This window comes from Homo sapiens, chromosome 5 (genome assembly GCF_000001405.40).
Source record: "Homo sapiens chromosome 5, GRCh38.p14 Primary Assembly".
Classification (NCBI taxonomy): domain Eukaryota; kingdom Metazoa; phylum Chordata; class Mammalia; order Primates; family Hominidae; genus Homo; species Homo sapiens.
Genome location: NC_000005.10, coordinates 134,062,643 through 134,083,773, shown reverse-complemented (window position 1 = coordinate 134,083,773; position 21,131 = coordinate 134,062,643). Strand labels below are relative to the sequence as shown.

Here is a 21,131-nt window from a genome sequence, read left to right as displayed (position 1 = left end):
ACTCTGAGTCCTACAGGCCAGAGACTGCATCCTGTCTGCTCCACACCCTAGCCTGGCACATAGTTGCTTTTGGTAAGTCCTTGCCAGTTGAAGGCTCATAGTGGAGACATCTGTGCAGAGGGGTACCACGGCCAGCTGAGGCCTGGAAGTCTGGAGCCTGGACATTCCAGAGCTCTTTGACGTAGCGCTTAGAGCACAGAAGTACAGTTTTCCCCACTGACCACAAACTTGGTCATGATTCTTCTAACCATGCAGGATAATGCGACATTTAAAAGCATAGGCTTGGCTGGGCACAGTGGCTCATGCCTGTAATCCCAGCACTTTGGGAGGCCAAGGCTGGCGAATCACTTGAGGTCAGGAGTCTGAGACCAGCCTGGCCAACATAGTGAAACCCCCATCTCTGCTAAAAATACAAAAATTAGCCGGGCATGGTGGCAGGTGCCTGTAGTCCCAGCTACTCGGGAGGCTGAGGCACGAGAATCGCTTGAACCCAGGAGGCGGAAGTTGCAGTGAGCTGAGATTGTGCCACTGCACTCCAGCCTGGACAACAAAGCAAGACCCCATCCCAAAAAAAAAAAAAAAAGAAAAAAAAAGAAAAAGAAAAGCACAGGCTCAGGGTTTGACACTCTGTCTTCCATCACTGTGTGACCCAAGGCAAGTGACTTTATGTATTTCATAAATCTAAATCTTATGTATTTCATAAATCTAAATCTGCATCCATTGCAAGGTTACCATATTTTATGTCATACCACAAAAGGAAAGGCATTACTTGCCAGTTTAGCTATAAAAGCCATCAATTGTAAGATGCATCTCAGTTTCAGAGATGCTAAGATTTATACAGACATTTCACCAAAAAAGTTTTTATATATATAGATGTAATATTAATCTGCATTTCCCTGATGACATATATATAGGAATGGCTGACAAGCACATGAAAAGATGCTCAACGTCATTAGTCATCAGGGAAATGCAGATTAAAACCACAATGAGGTACCACTACTGCATCCATTAGAATAGCTGAAAAACAAAATGAAACAAAAGAAAACCCGAACTGACCATACCAGGTGTTGGCAAGGAGGTGAAGCAGTTATATTGCTGATATGAATATAAAACCAATTTGGATAACAGTTTGGCAGTTCCTTGAAAAGATAAACATGTATCTATTATATGATCCAGACATTCTACTCCTAGATATTCACCCAATGGAAATTAAAACATGTCCACCCAAAGATTTCTACACAAATGTTTATAGCAACTTTATTTATAATAGCCCAAAGCTAGAAACAACCATAATGTCTACCAATAAATGAGTGGATAAAGATATTGTGGCATATCCATGCAATGGAGTAGTATTCAGTGATCAAAAGGAATTCACTATTGGTATGTGTAACAACATGGATAAATCTCACAATAATTATGTTGAATGAAAAAATCCAGGCAAAAGAGAGTTCATAGTGTATAATTTAATTATACAAGACTCTAGAAAACATAAAGGAATCTATATTGACAGAAAGCAGATCAGTGGTTGCCTGAGGATTGGGGTGGAAGGAAGGAGGAATGCATTACAAAGAAGCACAAGAAAACTCTTGGGAGTGCTGGAGATGTCTATCATATCGATTGTAGTAATAGCTGCACGGGTGTAAACATGTTCAAACTTATCGACTGGAGGCTCAGACCAGCCTGCAGAGCTGCAGCCACCCTTCATGCCCTCCCTACCCTCCCTGCTGACGATCATGCTCCAGTTACTACTTGGATTCACTTTGGCCAACATGGTTGGAATGTATCTGGCTCAGAACTATGATGCACCAAACCTGGCTAAAAAAAAGGACTTGATGCCGGGAAGAAAGAAACCCCCTAGTTCATGAGGCCGACTCCAGCACTGCCTTCTGGATACACTGATTCCACCACTCTTGAGGGCCTCCTTTACCATCTCAACCAAAGCCTTTTGTTTTTATCTCCAGCCTCAGTGATTTTCTTCCTTGCTAGACCCTGTGTTTTTGCCTTAGAGGAAGCAAAATGGGGCCCCAAGTTGAGAACTATCATTATGTTTCCTCTTACCATATCCTTCTTCCAGCTGAGTGGGAGGTTCTAAGACTGGAATTATGGTGCTTGATTAGTAAACATGACCTTTAATGAGTAGTCTCTTATTTATTTGGGATTTCTACTACCTTTTGTCAAAAGAAAAATTGATGAGTTTTGTATAGCAGGTCAAATACAAATAATACTTTTATTTCACAGTTTTTAGCAATTAAAATAGGTGCTTGTTAAACATTTGGTACTAAATTGTGTTGTTTTGGCTGGACACAGTAGTTCACACTTGTAATCCCAGTACTTTGGGAGGCTGAGGTGGGTAGATTGCCTGAGGTCAGGAGTTTGAGACCAGCCTGGGCAACATGGTGAAACCCTGTCTCTACCAAAAATACAAAAAGTTATCTAGGGCTGGGTGCGGTGGCTCACGCCTGTAATCCCAGCACTTTGGGAGGCCGAGGCGGGCAGATCACCTGGTCAGGAGTTCAAGACCAGCCTGGCCAACATGGTGAAACCCCATCTCTACTAAAAATACAAAAAATTAGCCGTGTTTGGTGGCGCATGCCTGTAATTCCAGCTACTTGGGAGGCTGAGGCAGGAGAATCACTTGAACCTGGGAGGCAGAGGTTGCAGTAAGCTGAGATCGCGCCATTGCACTCCAGCCTGGGCAACAAGAGCAAAACTCCGTCTCAAAAAAAAAAAAAAAGTTAGGCATAGTGGCTCACACCTGTAATCCAAGCTACTTGGGAGCTAAGGTGGGAGGATCGCTTGAGCCTGGGAGGTGGAGGTTGCAGTGAACCGAGATTGCGCCATTGCCCTCTAGCCTGGGCAAGAGTAATACTCTGTCTCAAAATAAATAAATAAATAAAATAAAAAATTTATGTAGTCTTAAAATAATTAAAATTAATATCTAGAGAAAAAACCTCTTGTCAGTTATACACTTTAAATATGTATAGCTCAGTAGACTTCGATTATACCTCAATAAAGTTGAAAAATATGAACAAATGTTTGTTTTAGAATAGAACCATGTCCAGGAATATTGTTGTGAGACTTAAATGAGATACAGCACTAGCCCAGTCTGGTGGGTGGTAAGAGCACAATAAATGTCAACTCATGTTGTTGGTGCCCCAACACTTAACCTGCCCATGATACTGTACCTCCGCGACTTAACCTGCTCACGGTATGGTACCTCGGTGACTTAACCTGCCCGTGGTACTGTACCTCCGTGACTTAACCTGCCCGTGGTACTGTACCTCCGTGGAGGCTTGCAGTTTTTGTTTCACTGCAAGGTCCCATTACAGACAGGGGTCTGGGGCTGGGAGAGACCAAGGGCTCTGCCCCAGGTCCCACAGGGAGTTCACGCAATGCAGGCCAGCTTTTCTGGCCCAGAGTGAGTCCTGGGCCCTGGCATCTCTCACTGGCTCGACCCCAGGCCGGGCAAAAGGAGACAATCCCAGTGTCCAAGGGCCTAGAAATAGTCTGTTTTGTGGGAGTAAAGGCCACCAGGGACTGTGAAAGTGGCCACCGGACATGTGAGAAATCCTTCGTGTCTGACGATGGGTTCTTATCGAGGGCAAATGACCACAGTGAGTGGCCTGAGAGAGGCCAATGCTCAGCCGGCTTTGATGTCACACATCTTGTGGCCTCTCTACATGGATGCAGTGTTTTTCTATGCAGCACCCACTGGCCGGGCCTCACGTCCCCTGTAAGCAAATGCTTGAAAGCCACTCTTGAGAGCAATTGTGAGAAGCCCCCACCGCAGGCCGCCTTTGGGGCAAGACAAGATTCAGCATTACTCAGAGCTTCCAGTACCTGCATAAGTTCAAACAGGAAGCCTGGTTTTTCCTCTTATGTCAACAACAACCTGTATTCTCTGTTCTGGCCTCTGAGCTCCCTCATGGAGTGGGTTTCTTGGGGTGAAAGTTAGGGTATCAGTGGCCCTTGAGGCCCCACCAGCAGATGCCTCCGCCAAAAGCAACTCACCTGGGAAGGCCTGGGGCAGCAACTCACCTGGGAAGGCCTGGGGCTTTGTGCTGCCAGGCCTTGGAAATGATCTAGCAATCTAAGGCTTTGCAAACAAAGGGAGGATCTGGCTGGGCACATGGTAGGTCTCCAACTAATTTAGATTGAAATGCAACTTGTCCCAAAACAAATGCCACTTCTCCCAGATTCCTGGCTCAGCAAATATCACCTCCACCTGCTCCCTTGAGCCAGACACCCTGAAGGCACCTCCCAGGCTTTTTTGTTCCCTCATTCTCCACCCCGAGTGGAGACTAAGTCCATCTATGCTTCTCCCTCAGTGTTTCCCAAATCCTCCCGCTCCTCCCTCTGCTCTCTGTGATGGTTTTAGTCCAGACCCCTGGTCCCCATCAGACGGTGATGCCACTCTCTCCTCACTGTGTCGCCTGGTCCCATTCCACGTATGGGCCACACAGTGGCCAGAGCATCTGTCCTAGATGCTTGAGGGGGCCAGGCGTGGTGGCTCATACCTGTAATCCCAGCACTGCGGGAGGCTGAGGCAGGAGGATCCCTTGAGCACAGGAGTTGGAGATCAGCCTGGGCAACATAGTGAGACCTGGACTCTACAAAAAGATTAACAAAATTAACCGGGCATGGTGGCATGTGTGTGTCTGTAATCCTGGCTACTCTGGAGGCTGAGGGAGGAGAATCAGTTGAGCCTGGGAGGCAGAGGCTGCAGTGAGCCAAGATGGCACCACTGCACTCCAGCCTGGGCCACAGAGTGAAACCCTATCTCAAAAAAAGAAAAAAAAAAAGGAGGGGGGTCAAAAAAAATAGACCGGGCACAGTGGCTCACGCCTGTAATCCCAGCACTTTGGGAGGCTGAGGTGGGCAAATCATCTGAGGTCAGGAGTTTGAGAGCAGCCTGGCCAACATGGTGAAACCCCATCTCTACTAAAAATACAAAAACTAACTGGGTGTGGTGGTGGGCACCTGTAATCCCAGCTACTTGGGAGGCTGAGGCAGGAGAATTGCTTGAACCCAGGAGGTGGAGGTCTCAGTGAGCCAAGATCGTGCCATTGCACTCCAGCCTGGGCGACAAGAGCAAAACTCTGTCTCAAAAAAAAAAAAAAAAAAAAGATGCTTGAGGGACGACATCACAAATGGACCTTCTTACTTACTATCTTGCACACCTGCTATGTGGCAAATGTAAAGGCCCTACTGGGCTCAGGGTGGCCTTCCATCTGTCAGAACTCATCCTTGCTCCCCAGTGTGCTCTCTTTGCTCATTCTGTGAACACCCAGGTGCCTTGCGGTGGCGGGTCCCTAAACAAGCCCCAAGTCTTCCTGTCCTCCTGGGCCTTGTGTAGTGCTCTGAATAGGCACCTGCTCCCAGCTGCTGCCTGCCCCTGGACCGCACAGTGCACCAACTCTCAACTTTCAGCCGAATCCCTCGCCTCCCCCCTGTCCTGCCCCACCCACTTCACCTTTCCTGACCACAGCTGGAGTGGGTCTCCCTCCTCTGTCTGTGTGTGCAGCTCAGTTTTGCATGCACCTCCCACGGGCATCTCTAGCCTCTTTGAGGGCAGGGGTCCAATTTGGCTCTGTGTCTGCAGGCCAGCCCAGCCCAGCCCTGCTCAGTCAAGGACGGTCTGGCATAGAGCAGGTGTTGGGCAGTGTGTGCTAGATGGCCACCTCTCTGTGCCTTTCATAACCTCAAGGGATCAGACTGGGCCTGGAAGCAGTTTGTAGCATGTGACAGACTCCACCTCTCCCCTGCCTCCCAGGCTCCCTGATGCGGCTTGCTTTAATAAGGAAAAAGTCCTGTGGCATTGATAATTAGTGGGCAGGCCCAAAGGGAAGGGTCTTTTTTCAGGGAATTGCTCTGAACATGGAATACCTTTCATATCCTTCTCTGGCTTTAGTAGGAGAGCTGACCTGTGGCCAAGGCTGAAACACTCAGGCAACCCACATTCCATTTTTGTGGAGCTCTGAAGAACATATTATTGGACTCCTAGAGAAATGCCTTCCCTGCCCCAGGCTGGGTAGATGCTTGGGGGGCAAAAGGGAGGCCTAGCTCTTCTCTGTGCCTCAGTTTTCTCATTCTGTACAATGGAAAGTACCTGCCTCATAGGGTTATGGTGATGATTAAATGAGCGAGTATGCATTAAGCTCTTAAACAGAGTTGGACACACATTAGTTCCGATCATGATGGTTTATGGGGCATGCCAGCGTGATGGGAATTGTACAAGTCACAGTTTGGGAAGGTCAGATCCCATGCACATGAGAACAGTTCATAGATCCCTCTCTCCTGAGGAGTAGGCTCCATGAGGGTAGAGGCTGCATCTGGCACATGGTAGGTGCTCAGTAAGAGTTTGCTGAATGGATTTTCAGACCAGGCTGAGCTGAAGTTTTTTTTCCTGTGCCAGGGAACAAAGGCTTTGGTAGGCAATTGGGAGAGTAAAGAGGTTTAAGGGTGAATGTTTAATCCCTTTTTTTTTTTTTTTTTTTGAGATGGAGTCTTGCTCTGTTACCCAGCCTGGAGTGCAGCGATGCAATCTCAGCTCACTGCAGCCTCCACCTCCTGAGTTCAAGCAATTCCTGTGCCTCAGCCTCCCAAGTAGCTGGGATTACAGGTGCACGCCACCACGCCTGGCTAATTTTTGTATTTTTAATAGAGACGGTTTCGCCATGTTGGTCAGACTGGTCTCGAACTCCTGGCCTCAAGTGATCTGGCCGCCTCGGCCTCCCAAAGTGCTGAGATTACAGCGGTGAGCTACCGTGCTTGGACTTCTTAAATGAAGAAATACTTAAATTGCTTATTTACAAGGATAGTGCTAATTAGTAATAATTATTATCTGATCATTAAATTAGACCTGCCTCCGGATCTCCTGTTAGGTACCCACAGAGGCCCACATCAGGTGAAGAACAGGCAAACTGTACATGTTTAAAATAACCTGATCAGCTCCCAGAGAGCCAGATGGTTGTCTCTCCTGCCTCTTCAGCCTCCTGTACCTAAGGCCTCTGGAGTCTTTGGATGGTATGATATTCTATCTGATCCAGCCCCTTGCCTTACAACTAGATGCACACAGCCACTGGGAGGAGGGCCGTGTCTTGAGCCCTTTGAAGGCTGTATGGTATAAGAACTGTCAGCCAAGGATGAGCCTGCCTGGGTATGGAGTCCCTTGCACACACCACAGATCTTCCTGGGACCTGAATCCACTGGGTACTGGGCTGTGCTGGGTGCTCGGGCGAGAGCAGTGAGCTAAACAGACTTAGCCTTGCCAGTACAGGACTCAGGGTCTGGGAGGGCAGATCAGGAGACAGACATGCACAAACTTTAGACACACCGAAACACATATGGCAACAAAGGAAATGTCTGAGGTGACAGTGAAGGCTGACCTTGCAGAAAGTGACCTGTGAGTCTGGGGGACTCAGGAAGGCCTCCACACGATGTGAGGATCCAGCAGAGATCTGAAGGGTGCATAGGAGTTATCAAGGTGAGAGAGGGCTGGGCATGGTGGCTCATGCCTGTAATCCCAGCACTTTGGGAGGCCGAGGCAGGTGGATCACCTAAGGTCAGGAGTTCAAGACCAGCCTGACCAACGTGGTGCAATCCTGTCTCTACTAAAAATACAAAATTAGCCAGACATGGTGGCATGTGCCTATAATCCCAGATACTTGGGAGGCTGAGGCAGGAGAATTGCTTGAACCCGGGAGGCAGAGGTTGCAGTTAGCAAGATCATGCCATTGCACTCCAGCCTGGGTGACAGAGGGAGACTCCATCTCAAAAACAAAAAAACAAAAAAACCATGAGAGGGTTTGAGAGAGAGTGTTGCAAGCTCAGTAGTGCATAAGTAGTGTTGTGAAGAGTATTGTGAATAGTATGAAAATGGTAGCAAGGGCCGGGCACGGTGGCTCACGCGTGTAATCCCAGCACTTTGGGAGGCTGAGGCGGGCGAATCACCAGGTCAGGAGATCGAGACCATCCTGGCTAACATGGTGAAACCCCGTCTCTACTAAAATAATACAAAAAATTAGCCGGGCCTGGTGGCACGCGCCTGTAGCCCCAGCTACTCGGGAGGCTGAGGCAGGAGAATCACTTGAACCCGGGAGGTGGAGGTTGCAGTGAGCCGAGATTGCGCCACTGCACTCGAGCCTGGGCAACAGAGCGAGACTCTGTCTCAAAAACAAAAAACAAAAAACAAACAAACAAACAAAAAACCAGTATCGTGTATAGTGTGTGAATAGTAGTGAGTAGTGTATGAATAGTAGTGTGAATAACAGTATGAAAGTATTGTGAACATAGTGTCAATAACCATGTGAATAGCAGTGTAAATAGTGTGTGAATAGTAGTCTGAATAGTAGTGTGAGTAGTGTGCTAACAGGAGTGTGACTAGTGTGTGGATAGTATTGTAAATAGCAGTGTGAAAGTAGTGGGAAAAGCAGTGTGGATAGCACTGTGAATTGCAGTGTGAATAGTGTGAATGGCAGTGTGAATAGCATGCAGATAGCAGTGTGAATCGTATGAATAGTAATAGCATGAATAGTGTGCAAACAGTGCAAATAGAAGTGTGAATGGTAGTGTGAACTGTGTGCAAATGGTATATAAATAGCATGTGCATAGGAGTGTAACTAGTATGTGGCCAGTACTGTGAATAGTAGCAGCGATGGTAGTATGAATAGCATGTGAATTGTGTGCAAATCATAGTGTGAATAGTGTATCCAGACTGTGTGCATAGTGTATGAAAAAGCTCTGTGGCCTGCTGAGAGTCCAAATGGCTGGACGAGCTGTACCACTGAGCAAAGTTATGAGTAGAGAGGAGGGCTAGGACCCAGGTCTGGAGTCTGGGGCAGTCAGTGTGGCATCCATGACTGTGCCATTTGCTCTGTCTAGGTTTTCCTGGCAAAGGAGCCTTTGGTGGTGGATGTCTTCATGGCACATGTGAGGACCATCAATACCAAATCTCCCTTCATCTGCTTGGAGTTCCCTGCATCAGTACATGATCCCATATAGGGCAGGGTAAGCATTGTTCTTCAGGTTTCTTTTTAAAACTCTAAGTGCTATTGGGAAAGGGAAGCCAGTGGTCCTCCCACCACTGAGTGACTGGGGCTGGGTGGGCTAAACCTGGAGGAGAAGAGGCCTGGGAAGGGTGAGGCTGCCACGGGTACCTCATAGGTTGGTTGACCAGGCCTGACTGGTGGCCTGTAAGCTGCTACCTGGCAACCAAACCTCTGCCCTGGACTTACACTGTGAGCCCCTCTTCCCTCTTCTCGGGGTGATCTCGCATTGGTAAGTCAGGGTCAGTTCCCTGGGGCCCAACTCCCACCCAGGCTCTGTGTCTGACATGAGGTCACAGAACACCCCCATGCTAGCATGTTTGCTCCCAAGTTTAATGTCCTTTTTCAAAGTAGATGTCATTTCAAAGCTTTTATTTATTTATTTATTTATTTATTTATTTATTTATTTATTTATTTATTTTGAGATGGAGTCTGGCTCTGTGGCCCAGTGTAATGGCAGGATCTTGGCTCACTGCGAGCTCTGCCTCCCGGGTTCATGCCATTCTCCTGCCTCAGCCTCTCGAGTAGCTGGGACTACAGGTGCCTGCCACCACGCCCAAGTAATTTTTTGCATTTTTAGGAGCGATGGGGTTTCACCATGTTAGCCAGGCTGGTCTCAATCTCCTGACCTCATGATCTGCCCGCCTCAGCCTCCCAAAGTGCTGGGATTACAGGTGTGAGCCACTGCGCCCAGCCAGCTTTTATTCATTCTTAGGCTGACTTTCAGTGACATATATAATACAAATAATGGGAAAAAACATAACATTTTTAAAGCTAGAGTTCTCCCATCTCTGTCCCCCACTTAGGGTTATTGGTTGGATGTGTCTTCTTCCAGTCTTTTTTAAATGCATTTTCATTGTTAAGTATGTAGATACAAAAATAATTTTGTTTGGGATATACACACACACACACACACAAGTCTGAGTTATATGTATTATTCAGCAGCTTCCTTTTTCAGCTACTGGTACATGTTGGAGATCTTTGCACATCAATGTATATAAACCTACTTCCTTCTTTTTAAATGACTGCTTAGTATTCTCCAGTGTGTATTCCATGGGTTATTTGCCATCCTCTCTCTGATGAACATTCACATTGTTTCCAGATTGTCACCATGACAAGCAACACTGTAGCAAACATCCTTGTGTGTGACTCAGCTTAGCTCAACTCAAGGATGGCTGTTTTGTTTGGCGATGAGGTCTGCATCAGAGGAGGTATTCAAGTAAAGGGTAAAATAATATGTCTTCCTCAACCCACAGCAGTGATGCTCAAACTTTGTTGGGTATGGAAACTACCTGGAGAGGTTTTTAAGCTATACATTGGCGGGCCAGACCCCTGGAATTTCTGATTCAGGAGGACTGGGATGAGGCCTGAGAATTTGCATTTCTAGCAAGTTCCCATGCGATGCCCCTGGTTTAAGGACTTTGGGAATTGCTGCCTCAGGGTGTTAGCTGCTCAGCCTCTACTTACTTGAAGAGTCACATCATCCTAGGAAGACAATATTCAAGGAGAATTAATCTTGGGCCCCTCCCTCTACTAAGAGGTAGGTGCCCTACCTGGCATCCCTTTGGGAGGCAGGGGCTTCAGGGCACTGGTGATGGGTCCAGAGGTCTGGCTAACAGGGCTGCCGGGTCAGATGTTCCAGCTAGGCCTAAAAGCCTAGGACCTCTTGACTCTTGACATAGCCTGCAGGACTGTCCTTTTCTTGGCATCCAACCGCCCACCCCCGTGCAGTGAGCGACTCACCCCATTCTTCCCTTTGGAGCTAAATGAAGGGTTCTGAGGCTGGCAGCGAGCTGTTTACACAACATGATTGGGAAGTGCTCTGGGGTTTTCATAACAGAAACAACGGGAGACCACATCCCCAGAGAAGGTCTTCTAAAAGTCTTGAGGTTTCAAGACCCTGATGTTCTCTTTGTTCCCAGCTGGACTGCAGGAGGTCACAATGGGGTTGGAGGAGACCATCACTGGGGCAGAGGTAGGAGGAACCTGGAGCTGGGACCCTTGGAACTAAAGACCATCCAGAAAGACTTACTGCCCTTCCTGGGCTTACTTGGTGGCTTGGACACTTCTGCACCTGAGGATGGTCCAGTTGCAGGCTGATGGTCAGACCCAATGGGCATTTGTCCGGTGTTTCTGCCCAGAGCAGAGCTGTGTCACCCTGCAGTTCACAGAACTCCTGGTCCTTTCCCCCCAGTGTGCTGTCCATGAACATCAGCCACCTTGATCATGAGAAAGAGGATTCCCGTCAACTGCAGGTTCCTCTGTTTGTTGCAGGTAGCGAAGGGAGGTGGGAAGGAGGCTCTGTTACCTACCACAAAGTGACCACAAATCCTGTGAGATGGATGGAAGCTCCTTTGGAGCTCCTGAGAGCTGCAGCAGGTCCTGCCCCTTCAGTGGGACAGAGTCTGGCTCCAGTTTTAATCCTGGGCAGTAATATTTGGGGTACCCTCTCTCTCTGGTTGGGTAACGTATAAAGTCCTGTCTCTCTTGACTGGTTATTGTTCATGGTTGTAAGCCCAACATCTAATATATAGTAGGTGCCTAACAGTCCCTGTTGAGTAAATAATGAGATGAAGTTCTTAGAAGGTGTCTGCAAGATGGACTAGCCTTTGCATTCCCTGGAATCGGTGGGCTGGACCCTAGGGCGAGCTGCTCAGCTACTTGAGAACCCCTTTGCATCGCTGCTGCTGTGGGGGACTGGATTCCACTACCAGAAACAACTTCCACACAACCTCAGATGCCAAAGGAGCCCTGGGGGTAAACTCCAGCCTCCTATCCAGGGGTTACCCTGGGACAGGCCCACCACAGAGGAGCATGTACAGAGAGGGGAGACTGGCTTCTCCCTTCCCAAGCAGGAGGGGTGGAGTGGATCTGTGACCATTATGTCAGCATTTCGCAGACCCCAGGTCCGCCCACAAGGGCTAAGGGCAAGGCCATGCTGTGTCCAGGATCCAGCACCCCACCCCTCAACCCACAGCCACCCTCCAACTCCGCACTAATACTGGAACTGGGTGGGGGTGGGGGCAGAGAATTTTAATTCTTTCAGACTCAAAACTTAACTTCTCATTTCTTTCAAGACACTCACCCCTCACCCAAAAAACGAAAGTCAAGGCTAAGGGGAATTCTGCGTGGTGGAAAAGCTTAAGGTGTTACTTTTGGTCTGGGTGAAGCTGGTCATCTGCATTTACCACACGCAGCCAAAAGTGCCGGAGGCTGAGAGCCCTGAGGCTGAGGGTCTCTAGGTGGGAATGACAGGGTGGGTTGGAGGCGTGGAGAAGGGCGCTCCCCCGAGGCTGGGCGAGGAGGATGTCGCCACCTGCACAGCTGGCGCGGCTGGGCCCAGGGTTGGGGGGAAGGGGCGAGTCCCTTTGTGGGCCTCCAAGTCCAGCCCTTCCCCTGCCGCCCTACACGCGGCGCTTTGAAGTGGCCGCGCTGGCTGCCCCCTCCCGCACGGCGCCGCCCCCGCTGCGTCCGCACCTTGGCAGTGGCTGAGCGCCTTCCAAGGGAAGGGGAGGGTGGCACCCGCTGGGAACTCTTTGTAAATTCATCCCCCAGGAAGGCTGGGCCGAGGATCCCCTCGGGGGAATCCGCCTCCGGGGTCGCGGGGTCGAGGTGTGTTGGGTTAACCCCTAACACTGCCTGAAAGATTGGTCACCCCTCGGGACTCAGGGTGGGACGTCAGAGCCCCCACCCCTAGGTTCCTCTGCTGGGCGGGGTTTACGCCCCTGGGAAGCGGCTGGGGATGGTGACGCTTGGACCGGTTTCCTGTGAAAATCCTACGAGCCATTTTGGCAATAAATTTGTACAAGTTCTTTAAAACTGTGCAGACCTCTGATCCAGCACCTCCTTGCTGCCTAGAAAATAATCGCAGATACGTGCAAAAAGGTATGTGCTATGACGCATTGGAGCATTGCTTAGAACTGGGAAACCGTGGGAATATTCAGCAGTAGAGATTATTATATTCACTAATAAACTAATAGTTTACCACCGGCCAGACAGCATTGGGGAAAATCCGAGACTTCAAATCATGAGTAATGATGACATAGAATATTTACTATGAACAAAAAAAATTGCTCTTGACATTGTTAACCAATAACTATATAAGCCTGTATGGAAAAAAGACTGGAAGGAAATAAGACAACACATTCTTAGTAGTGGTTCTCTCTGGGTGCTGGGATTAAAGGATGACTGTGATTATCTTAGGCGTTTCTGAAATGTTTAATACTCTACGCCATAATCATGTATTTAAAAATAAATGTTGTTTAGATAAAACCTTAGTTCAGCCAGGCGTGGTGGCTCAAGCCTGTAATCCCAGCGCTTTGGGAGGCCGAGATGGGCAGATCACGGACAGCAGCCTAGCTCTTGGACTAGGGTGACTAGATAGGATGAAACCCCATCTCTACCAAAAATAAAAAAAATTAACCGAGCATGCTGGGAGGCACCTATAATCCCAGCTACTCGGGAGGCTGAGGCAGGAGAATCGCTTGAAACTGGGAAGCAAAGGTTGCAGTGAGCCGAGATCACGCCATTGCACTCCAGCCTGGGCAACAGAGCGAGGCTCCACCTCCAAAAAAAATAAGAAAGTAAAGGAATAAAAGAATGGCTACTTCACAGACAGAGCAGAGGGCTGCTGGTTGCCCATTTGTATGGCTGTTTTTTTTTTATCACATGCTAAACAAGGGGTGGATTATTCATGCCTCCCCTTTTTAGACCGTATAGGGTAACTTTCTGATGTTGCCATGGTATTTGTAAACTGTCAGGGTGCTGGTGAGAGTGTAGCAGTAAGGATGAAGATAGGTCACTCTTGTCGCCATCTTGGTTGTGGTGGGTTTTGGCCAGCTTCTTTGCTGCAATCTGTTTTATCAGCAAGGTCTCAATGACCTGTATCTTGTCCCGACCTCCTATCTCATCCTGTGACTTAGAATGCCTTAATCATCTGGCAATGCAACCCAGTAGGTCTCAGCCTCATTTTACTCAAGATGGAGTTGCTCTGGTTCAAACACTTTTGACACATCCATCAGCATGCAAACCAGCCCTAACCCAACCCGAACCCTCAAAGGTAGAGAAATAAAGAGAAACGCTGAGAAGCAGGAGTGAGACCCCCTCACTCCCCAAAGGCCATAGTGTGGTCTCCTAGAGGCTCCGGGTCTGATGATTCAACCTTTCTTCGATGCCATTCAGGAGGCCTGGGTGGTAGAGGAAGCTTCCAGGACTTGTCAGACATTCAGCTTCCTTCCTAATAGGTGGTGATCAGCTGGCTATGGGAGAGACCCCTCACCTCTGAGGGGATCATCATTCCTTCCTCCTGCCCTGCTCCACCTTCATATGTTCCTCTGATTAAGAACACTCCTGAATTATTAGGTGATGGCTGGTGGAGAAGTATTGAGAACTATGTTCTCCCAGGATTTATTCAGAGGGTTGGGACTATAGCCCATTGAAATGGGCCCCTCCATCCTGCACCATAAGGTTTAGAGAACACTAAAAAAATTTCCCTTATCTCTAGTCAGCTCTGGTGATCCTTTGAAGTTTTTGTTTCTAATTTGGCAGATTATTACTGTAATTCATTTTGTGCTTCTGATTTCTTTAACATTCATTTTTTTTCTTCTGAAAGCACAGTAAAACATGGGGGGTGGCTGTGTGGGTGGGAGTCTTGCTGGGACTCCCAGAGAGGACTGCTACTAAGTAAACTTTGCTTTTACTAAAAGGCGCACGTGAACACACACACACACACACACACACACACACACACACACACACACAGTCACCTCCCAGAGAAGTTTTTTTCTGTTCTAAATTCACTTTAGATAAGTGTACTGATTCAGCTTAGAGATTTTTAAAACACTGAAAAGAAATGAGAAAAGAAGACCAAGATGCACAGAGGATAGAGTAAGTGGAAGAAACACCTCTACTATTAATTTCGGCAGAAGACAATGGAGAGAATGGGGAAGAAGCAATATGCAAAGAGCTGACAGCTAATAATTTTCCAGAACTGTTGGGTCTGTGACTCCTCAGGCTGAAGAGGCACAGTGGTTTCCGAACAGAGAAAATATAAATCACTTTATACCTAGCCACGTTGTAGTGAAACTTCTTGACACCAAAGACAATGAGAAAATCCTAAAAGAAACCACAGAAAAAAGAAAAATTACCTACAAAGAAATCATAAGTAAACAGCCTTCTCATTAGCAACAAAAGAGATCTGAATAATATCTTCAAAGGGCTGAGGGAAAATAATTGTTTTCCCCAAATTCTAAACTAAAATACGTGTTGTTCAAGAATGAGTGCAAAATAATGACGTTTCAGACAAAAAAAAAAAAAGCACTGAGAAACATTTTCACATACATCCCCTCATTGAAAAAATTGCTGAAGAGTATTCCTCAAAAAGAAAAAAAAAACTGATAGGAGTGGAACGGAAGACACAATACTAAGGGGAAAAAGAATATATGTTGGGTAAATCTCATAATCCTTGTGTATAAAACAACAACAATGATAGCAACTAATTGGGAGGGTTTAAAATGAGAAAAAAAAATAAACTGATAGGTAACAATAATTAAGAAGATGGAGTAGAGTAATTGAAGTGAAGCATTCTGTTTTTGTTTTGTATTTTTTTTTGAGATGTAGTCTCCCTCTGTCGCCCAGGCTGGTGTGCAGTGGTGCGATCTCTGCTTACTGCAACCTCCACCTCCCAGGTCCAAGTGACTCTCCTGCCTCAGCCTCCCACGTAGCTGGTATTACAGGCTCACACCACCATGACCGGCTAATTTTTTTATTTTCAGTAGAGACAGGGTTTCACCATGTTGGCCAGGCTGGTCTTGAACTCCTGACCTCAAGTGATCCGCCTTCCTTGGCCTCCCAAAGTGCTGGGATTACAGGCCTGAGGTATCATGCCCAACTGAAGTGAAGCATTCTAAGGTTCTTTTGTTGTTTTGGAAGAGAGTGTAACAGAAAGTGAACTGATCATGAAGCTAGGGAAGTATAAGCTGCAAGAGTAATTTCTGTCTCCTTCTCCTTCTCCCTCTCCTTCTCCCTCTCCCTCTCCCTCCCCCTCTCCTCCCTCGCCCTCCCCCTCCCCCTCACCGCCTCCCCTTCTCCTTCTCCTCCTCCTTCTTCTTTTTTTAAAAAAGAGAGCTTCCAAATTGAATAAGCTTCAGATCCCATAAAACCTGGATCTGCCTCTGAGGTAGCATTAATATTTCATATTTGGACTTTATTAAGACAATTCTATAAGTTAAAAATGTAAAGACAACTACTAAAAGTATAAAAAACAGAATATATAACTTTTTTTTTTTTTTTTTTTTTTTAGAATATGTAACTTCTAACCTGCTAGGGAAAATAAAGATAAGAACATTTGATCTGACTGGGAGCGGTGGCTCACACCTGTAATCCCAGCACTTTGGGAGGCCGAGGTGGGCATGTCACCTGAGGTCAAGAGTTCAAGACCAGCCTGACCAACATGGAGAAACCCTGTCTCTACTAAAAATACAAAATTAGCCAGGCATGGTGGCATATGCCTGTAATCCCAGCTCCTCGGGAGGCTGAGGTAGGAGAATCGCTTGAACCCAGAAGGCAGAGGTTGCAGTGAGCTGAAATTGTGCCATTGCACTCCAGCCCGGGTAACAACAAACTCCGTCTCAAAAAAAAAAAAAAAGAACTTTTGATCAAAACAATCAAAAGCAGGAAAAGAGGGGGAAAAAGAAGCAAAGAAAACACATTATAAACAAAAAATACAAACTAGAATGGCAGATGTGGCAAAATTTATTACTTAACCCTAGATATCTGTTCTCCCTTTCTAGCAGGGGAATGGATATTTTTTGCCAAGCAGATTTAAAATCTATTATACATCCCTCAGCCTCTCTTACAGATAGATTTGGCCAGTGGTATGTGACCAGAAGTGACATTGCAATTTCTGTGTTGCCATTAAACGGGGAAATTCTCTTCTATTCCCTTCTCTTTCTCCTTTTCCTCTTCTAATTGGTTGGAATTCAGGTGTAATAACAGGAGCTACATCATCTATCTCACACCAAAAGATGGAAGCTGTGTATTGAAGATGACAGAGCAATAAGAAAGGAAGAGACTGGGCCCCCGATAATTTTGTGGAGAAGAGCTATCACACTAGCCAGGACTTTTATGTAAGAGTTAAAAATTTCATCTTGTTTAAGCCACTTTTAATTTGATTTCACTGCAAAAGCAGCTAACCAATATACTAACACATGTAGCAGGTATAAATTATGTTAGAAATTACAGTAAAAGTAAATGGAGTAGACTATTTAAAAGACAGTGATTTTCAGGCTAGAATAAAACAAAAACAAAACAAAATAAACACAGACATGCTCATTTGTTATATATTGTCTATAGCTGCATTCACACCTTACTACCAGAGTTGAATAGTTACAACAGAGACTGTAAAACGTCAAAAATATTTACTATCGGCCGGGCATGGTGGCTCATGCCTGTAATCTCAGCACTTTGGGAGGCTGAGGTGGGTGGATCGCAAGGTCAGGAGTTTGAGACCAGCCTGGTCAGTATGGTGAAACCCCATCTCTACTAAAAATACAAAAATTAGCCAGCACTCTCCAGCCTGGGCAACAGAGCGAGACTCCGTCTCAAAAAAATAAGTAGATAAAAATATTTACTATCGACCAGGCGCGGTGGCTCACACCTGTAATCCCAGCACTTTGGGAAGCTGAGGCAAGTGGATCATGAGGTCAGGAGTTCGAGACCAGCCTGCCCAACATGGTGAGACCCCCCATCTCTACTAAAAATATGAAATTAGCCAGGCGTGGTGGCGGGGGCCTGTAATCCCAGCTACTCGGGAGGCTGAAGCAGGAGAATCACTTGAAACCAGAAGGCAGAGGTTGCAGTGAGCCAAGATGGCACCACTGCACTCCAGCCTGGGCAAAAGAGTGAAACCCCGTCTCAAAAAAAAAAAAAAAAAAAAAATTTACTATCTGGCCCTTTACAGAAAAAGTAAGTTTGATGACCCCTGAACTAATTCATAAAGCAAATTTTAACAAATATCAAAGAATAGCTATCATACTGACTATATTATCTCATCTTAATGAAATAAAACTAGAAGTTAAAACCAAAGAGGCAGGGCACAGTGGCTCATGTCTATAATTCCAGCATTTTGAGAGGCTGAGACAGGTGGATAACTTGAGGCCAGGAGTTTGAGACCAGCCTGGCCAATATTGCAAAACCCTGTCTCTACGAAAAATACAAAAATTGGCTGGGTGTGGTGGCGCACGCTTGTAGTCCCAGCTACTCGGGAGGCTGAAGCAGGAGAATTACTTGAACCCAGGAGGCAGAGGTTGCAGTGAGCCAAGATGTGCCACTGCACTCCAGCCTGAATGGTAGAGTGAGACTCTGTCTCAAAAAAAAAAAAAAAAAAAAAATTAAAATTAAAACCAAAGAGATAGCCAAAATAATCCCATTATATTTGGATGTGTGTCTAAATAATTCATAGGGAAAAGAGGAAACCACAGAGAAAATTACAAAACATTTGGAAGTGAAGATCATTAAAACATCATATAAATTTTTTTTGGAATCAGCTAGAACAATGATTAGAGAGAAATTTATATCCTTTAAAGAATACATTAGAGAAAGAAAAAGACTAAAAATTAATAAGGTGAGTATCCAGTTCAAGAATTAGAAAAAGAGTAACAGGATAGCCTGAAGAAAGTAGTAAAAAAGGAAATAAAAAAGGAAACTAAGGCCGGGCATGGTGGCTCATGCCTATAATCCCAGCACTTTGGAAGGCTGAGTCAGGCAGATTGCTTGAGCTCACAAGTTCAAGACCAACCTGGGCAATATGGCAAGACCCCATCTCTACTAAAAATACAAAAAAATAGCTGGGCATGGTGGTGCACGCCTGTGGGTCCCAGCTACTTGGGAGGCTGAGGTGGGAGGATCACTTGAGCCCAGGGAGCAGAGGTCACAGTGAGCTGAGATCACACCATTGTACTCTAGCCTGGGTGATAGAGCCAGACCTTAGCTCAAAAAAGGAAAAAAAAAAAAGAAGTTACAGAAAAATTGAATAGTTTTATGTTAGTTCTATATCCCTTGTATCAGTTATCTATTGCTTAGTAACAAATCACCCCCAAAACATAGTATCTTAAAACAATAATCAGACCAGGCCCAGCGGCTCACACTTGTAATCCCAGCACTTTGGGAGGCCGAGGTGGGCAGATCATCTGAGGTCAGGAGTTCGAGACCAGCCTGGCCAACATGGTGAAACCCCATCTCTACTAAAATACAAAAATTAGCCAGGTGCAGTGGCAAATGCCTGTAATCCCAGCTACTCGGGAGGTTGAGACATGAAAATTGCTTGCACCAGGAGGCGGAGGTTGCAGTGAGCCAAGATTGCACTACTGCACTCCAGCCTGGGTGACAGAATAAGACTCTCTCTCTCTCAAAAAAAAACCCCAAAAAACAAAAAAACAATAATCAGTCAGCTGGGTATGATGGCTCACGCCTGTAATCTCAGCACTTTGGGAAGTTGAGGCAGGAGAATCACTTGCCCAAAATTACAGTGGAAGAAAAAAATTGCAATTTTATATTCAAGATGCCATGATTGTCTATATGAAAAATTCATGGACTGGACACAGTGGCTCTTGCCTGTAATCCCAGCACTTTGAGAAGCTGAGGCAGGAGGATCACTTGAGCCCAGGAGTTTGTGACCAGCCTGGGCAACATAGGGAGAACCTGTCTCTAAAAAAAAAAAAAAAAAAAAAAAAATTAGTACAGGTGGTATGCGCCTGTAGTCTCAGCTACTGGGGAGGCTGAGGAGGGGGAATCGCTTGAGTCTGGGGGTTTGAGGCTGCAGTGAGCTCTAATTGTGCTACTGCACTTCAGTCTGGTGACAGAGAAAGACCATGTCTCTAAAAATAAATAGATAAGTAAGTAAATAAATAAAAATTAGACAACAATCATTTTATTTGCTCATGATTCTGTGGTTAGCAGTTCAGGCCAGGCACATCTGGACAGTTCTTCTGCTGGTCTTACCTAGGGACACTCTGGCAGTGACCACCATCTGGCAGCTCTTCTGGCTCTGGACAATCCAGGATGCCCTCCCTCACGTGTCTAGCAGTTGGTGCTGGCTGTCAGCTGAGTCACATGTCTCCGTCAGGTTATTCCAGACTTCTTGTGTTAGCAGAAGGATTCCCAGCAAGCAGCAAAATACAGCAAGCCCCAGTGCACAAGTGTTTTTCAAGCCTCTGCTTGTATCACACTTGCTAATGTCTCATTGGCCAAATTATAACAAATCTTGGCCAAAGCAAATCACTGAATCAATGTGGGAGGGATTATACATAGGTAAGGATACAGGGATAGAGACAGGGATGGGGGTAGGGAGGCTGTTACTATAACAATCAACCAAGACTGTTAAGTAAACATATAAATCAACCCTCCCTAAATACATTGTGGTAGTCCACACTGGATGTTGGAACGGAGAAAGGACATTAGTGGGAAAACTAATGGTGGTGGTGAAATCCAAACAAAGACTGGAGTTTAGTTAATAGTAATATATCAATGTTAATTTCTTATTTAGACAAATATACCATGGTTATATATTCATATATTAACTTGAGGGGAAACTAGATGACAGATATAGGGAAACTCTGTTCACCATCTTTGAAACTTTTTTGTAAGTCTAAAATTATTCCAGAACTAAAAGTTTATTTTAAAAAAGCAACAACTTTCCAACATACTGGGAAACTATAGGCCTAGGTAATTTTATGGGTGATTTTTGCCAAATTATTCAAGGAACAGATATCCCTCTCTTATTTAAACTGTTTCAGAAAATTCAGGCCGGGTGCAGTGGCTCATGCCTGTAATCCCAGCACTTTGGGAGGCCGAGGAGGGCAGATCATTTGAGGTCAGGGCTTCGAGACCAGCCTGGCTAACATGGTGAAACCCCATTTCTACTAAAAAAACAAAAATTAGCTGAGCATGGTGGTGGGCGCCTGTACTCCCAGCTACTCAGGAGGCTGAGGCGGGAGAATCGCTTGAATCTGGGAGGTAGAGGTTGCAGTGAGCCGAGATTGCGCCATTGCACTCTAGCCTGGGCAACAGAGCAAGACTCCATCGCAA

The 21,131-nt window shown here is 46.2% G+C and overlaps 2 protein-coding genes across 7 annotated transcripts in view, besides 3 other annotated features; both read left to right on the top strand.

Moving 5' to 3' along the window:
• VDAC1 (voltage dependent anion channel 1) overlaps nucleotides 1–21,131 on the top strand; it is a 142,670-nt gene that overhangs the window by 30,767 nt on the left and 90,772 nt on the right. For 2 of the 6 annotated variants that reach the window (NM_001401017.1, NM_001401016.1), the window contains exon 1: nucleotides 12,763–12,932. The exons of 2 other annotated variants lie outside the window; for them this stretch is intronic. The gene's annotated coding sequence lies outside the window, so the exon portion shown is untranslated. Of the gene's footprint in view, nucleotides 1–6,884; nucleotides 7,027–8,883; nucleotides 9,010–12,762; nucleotides 12,933–21,131 lie in introns of those variants that run through there. 2 more of the 6 variants (NM_001401011.1, NM_001401010.1) reach the window with 2 other exon arrangements.
• On the top strand, nucleotides 1,623–1,961 carry LOC124901069 (short transmembrane mitochondrial protein 1-like). Its single transcript, XM_047417988.1, has one exon. The coding sequence runs from the start codon at nucleotides 1,704–1,706 to the stop codon at nucleotides 1,863–1,865; it is 162 nt and encodes a 53-aa protein (XP_047273944.1). The 5' UTR covers nucleotides 1,623–1,703; the 3' UTR covers nucleotides 1,866–1,961.
• Nucleotides 11,767–11,866: an enhancer, noted in NCBI's record as "active region_23121". NCBI's record gives its function as "activates an Ori minimal core promoter by ATAC-STARR-seq in GM12878 lymphoblastoid cells {active_cell/tissue: GM12878}" and the evidence as "EXISTENCE:reporter gene assay evidence [ECO:0000049][PMID:35858748]".
• Nucleotides 12,337–12,456: a silencer, noted in NCBI's record as "silent region_16353". NCBI's record gives its function as "represses an Ori minimal core promoter by ATAC-STARR-seq in GM12878 lymphoblastoid cells {active_cell/tissue: GM12878}" and the evidence as "EXISTENCE:reporter gene assay evidence [ECO:0000049][PMID:35858748]".
• Nucleotides 12,537–12,596: a silencer, noted in NCBI's record as "silent region_16352". NCBI's record gives its function as "represses an Ori minimal core promoter by ATAC-STARR-seq in GM12878 lymphoblastoid cells {active_cell/tissue: GM12878}" and the evidence as "EXISTENCE:reporter gene assay evidence [ECO:0000049][PMID:35858748]".

Bases quoted from the DNA above. Each gene is read 5' to 3' on its own strand.
- LOC124901069 (XM_047417988.1), top strand. From the start codon at position 1,704: ATGCCCTCCCTACCCTCCCTGCTGACGATCATGCTCCAGTTACTACTT.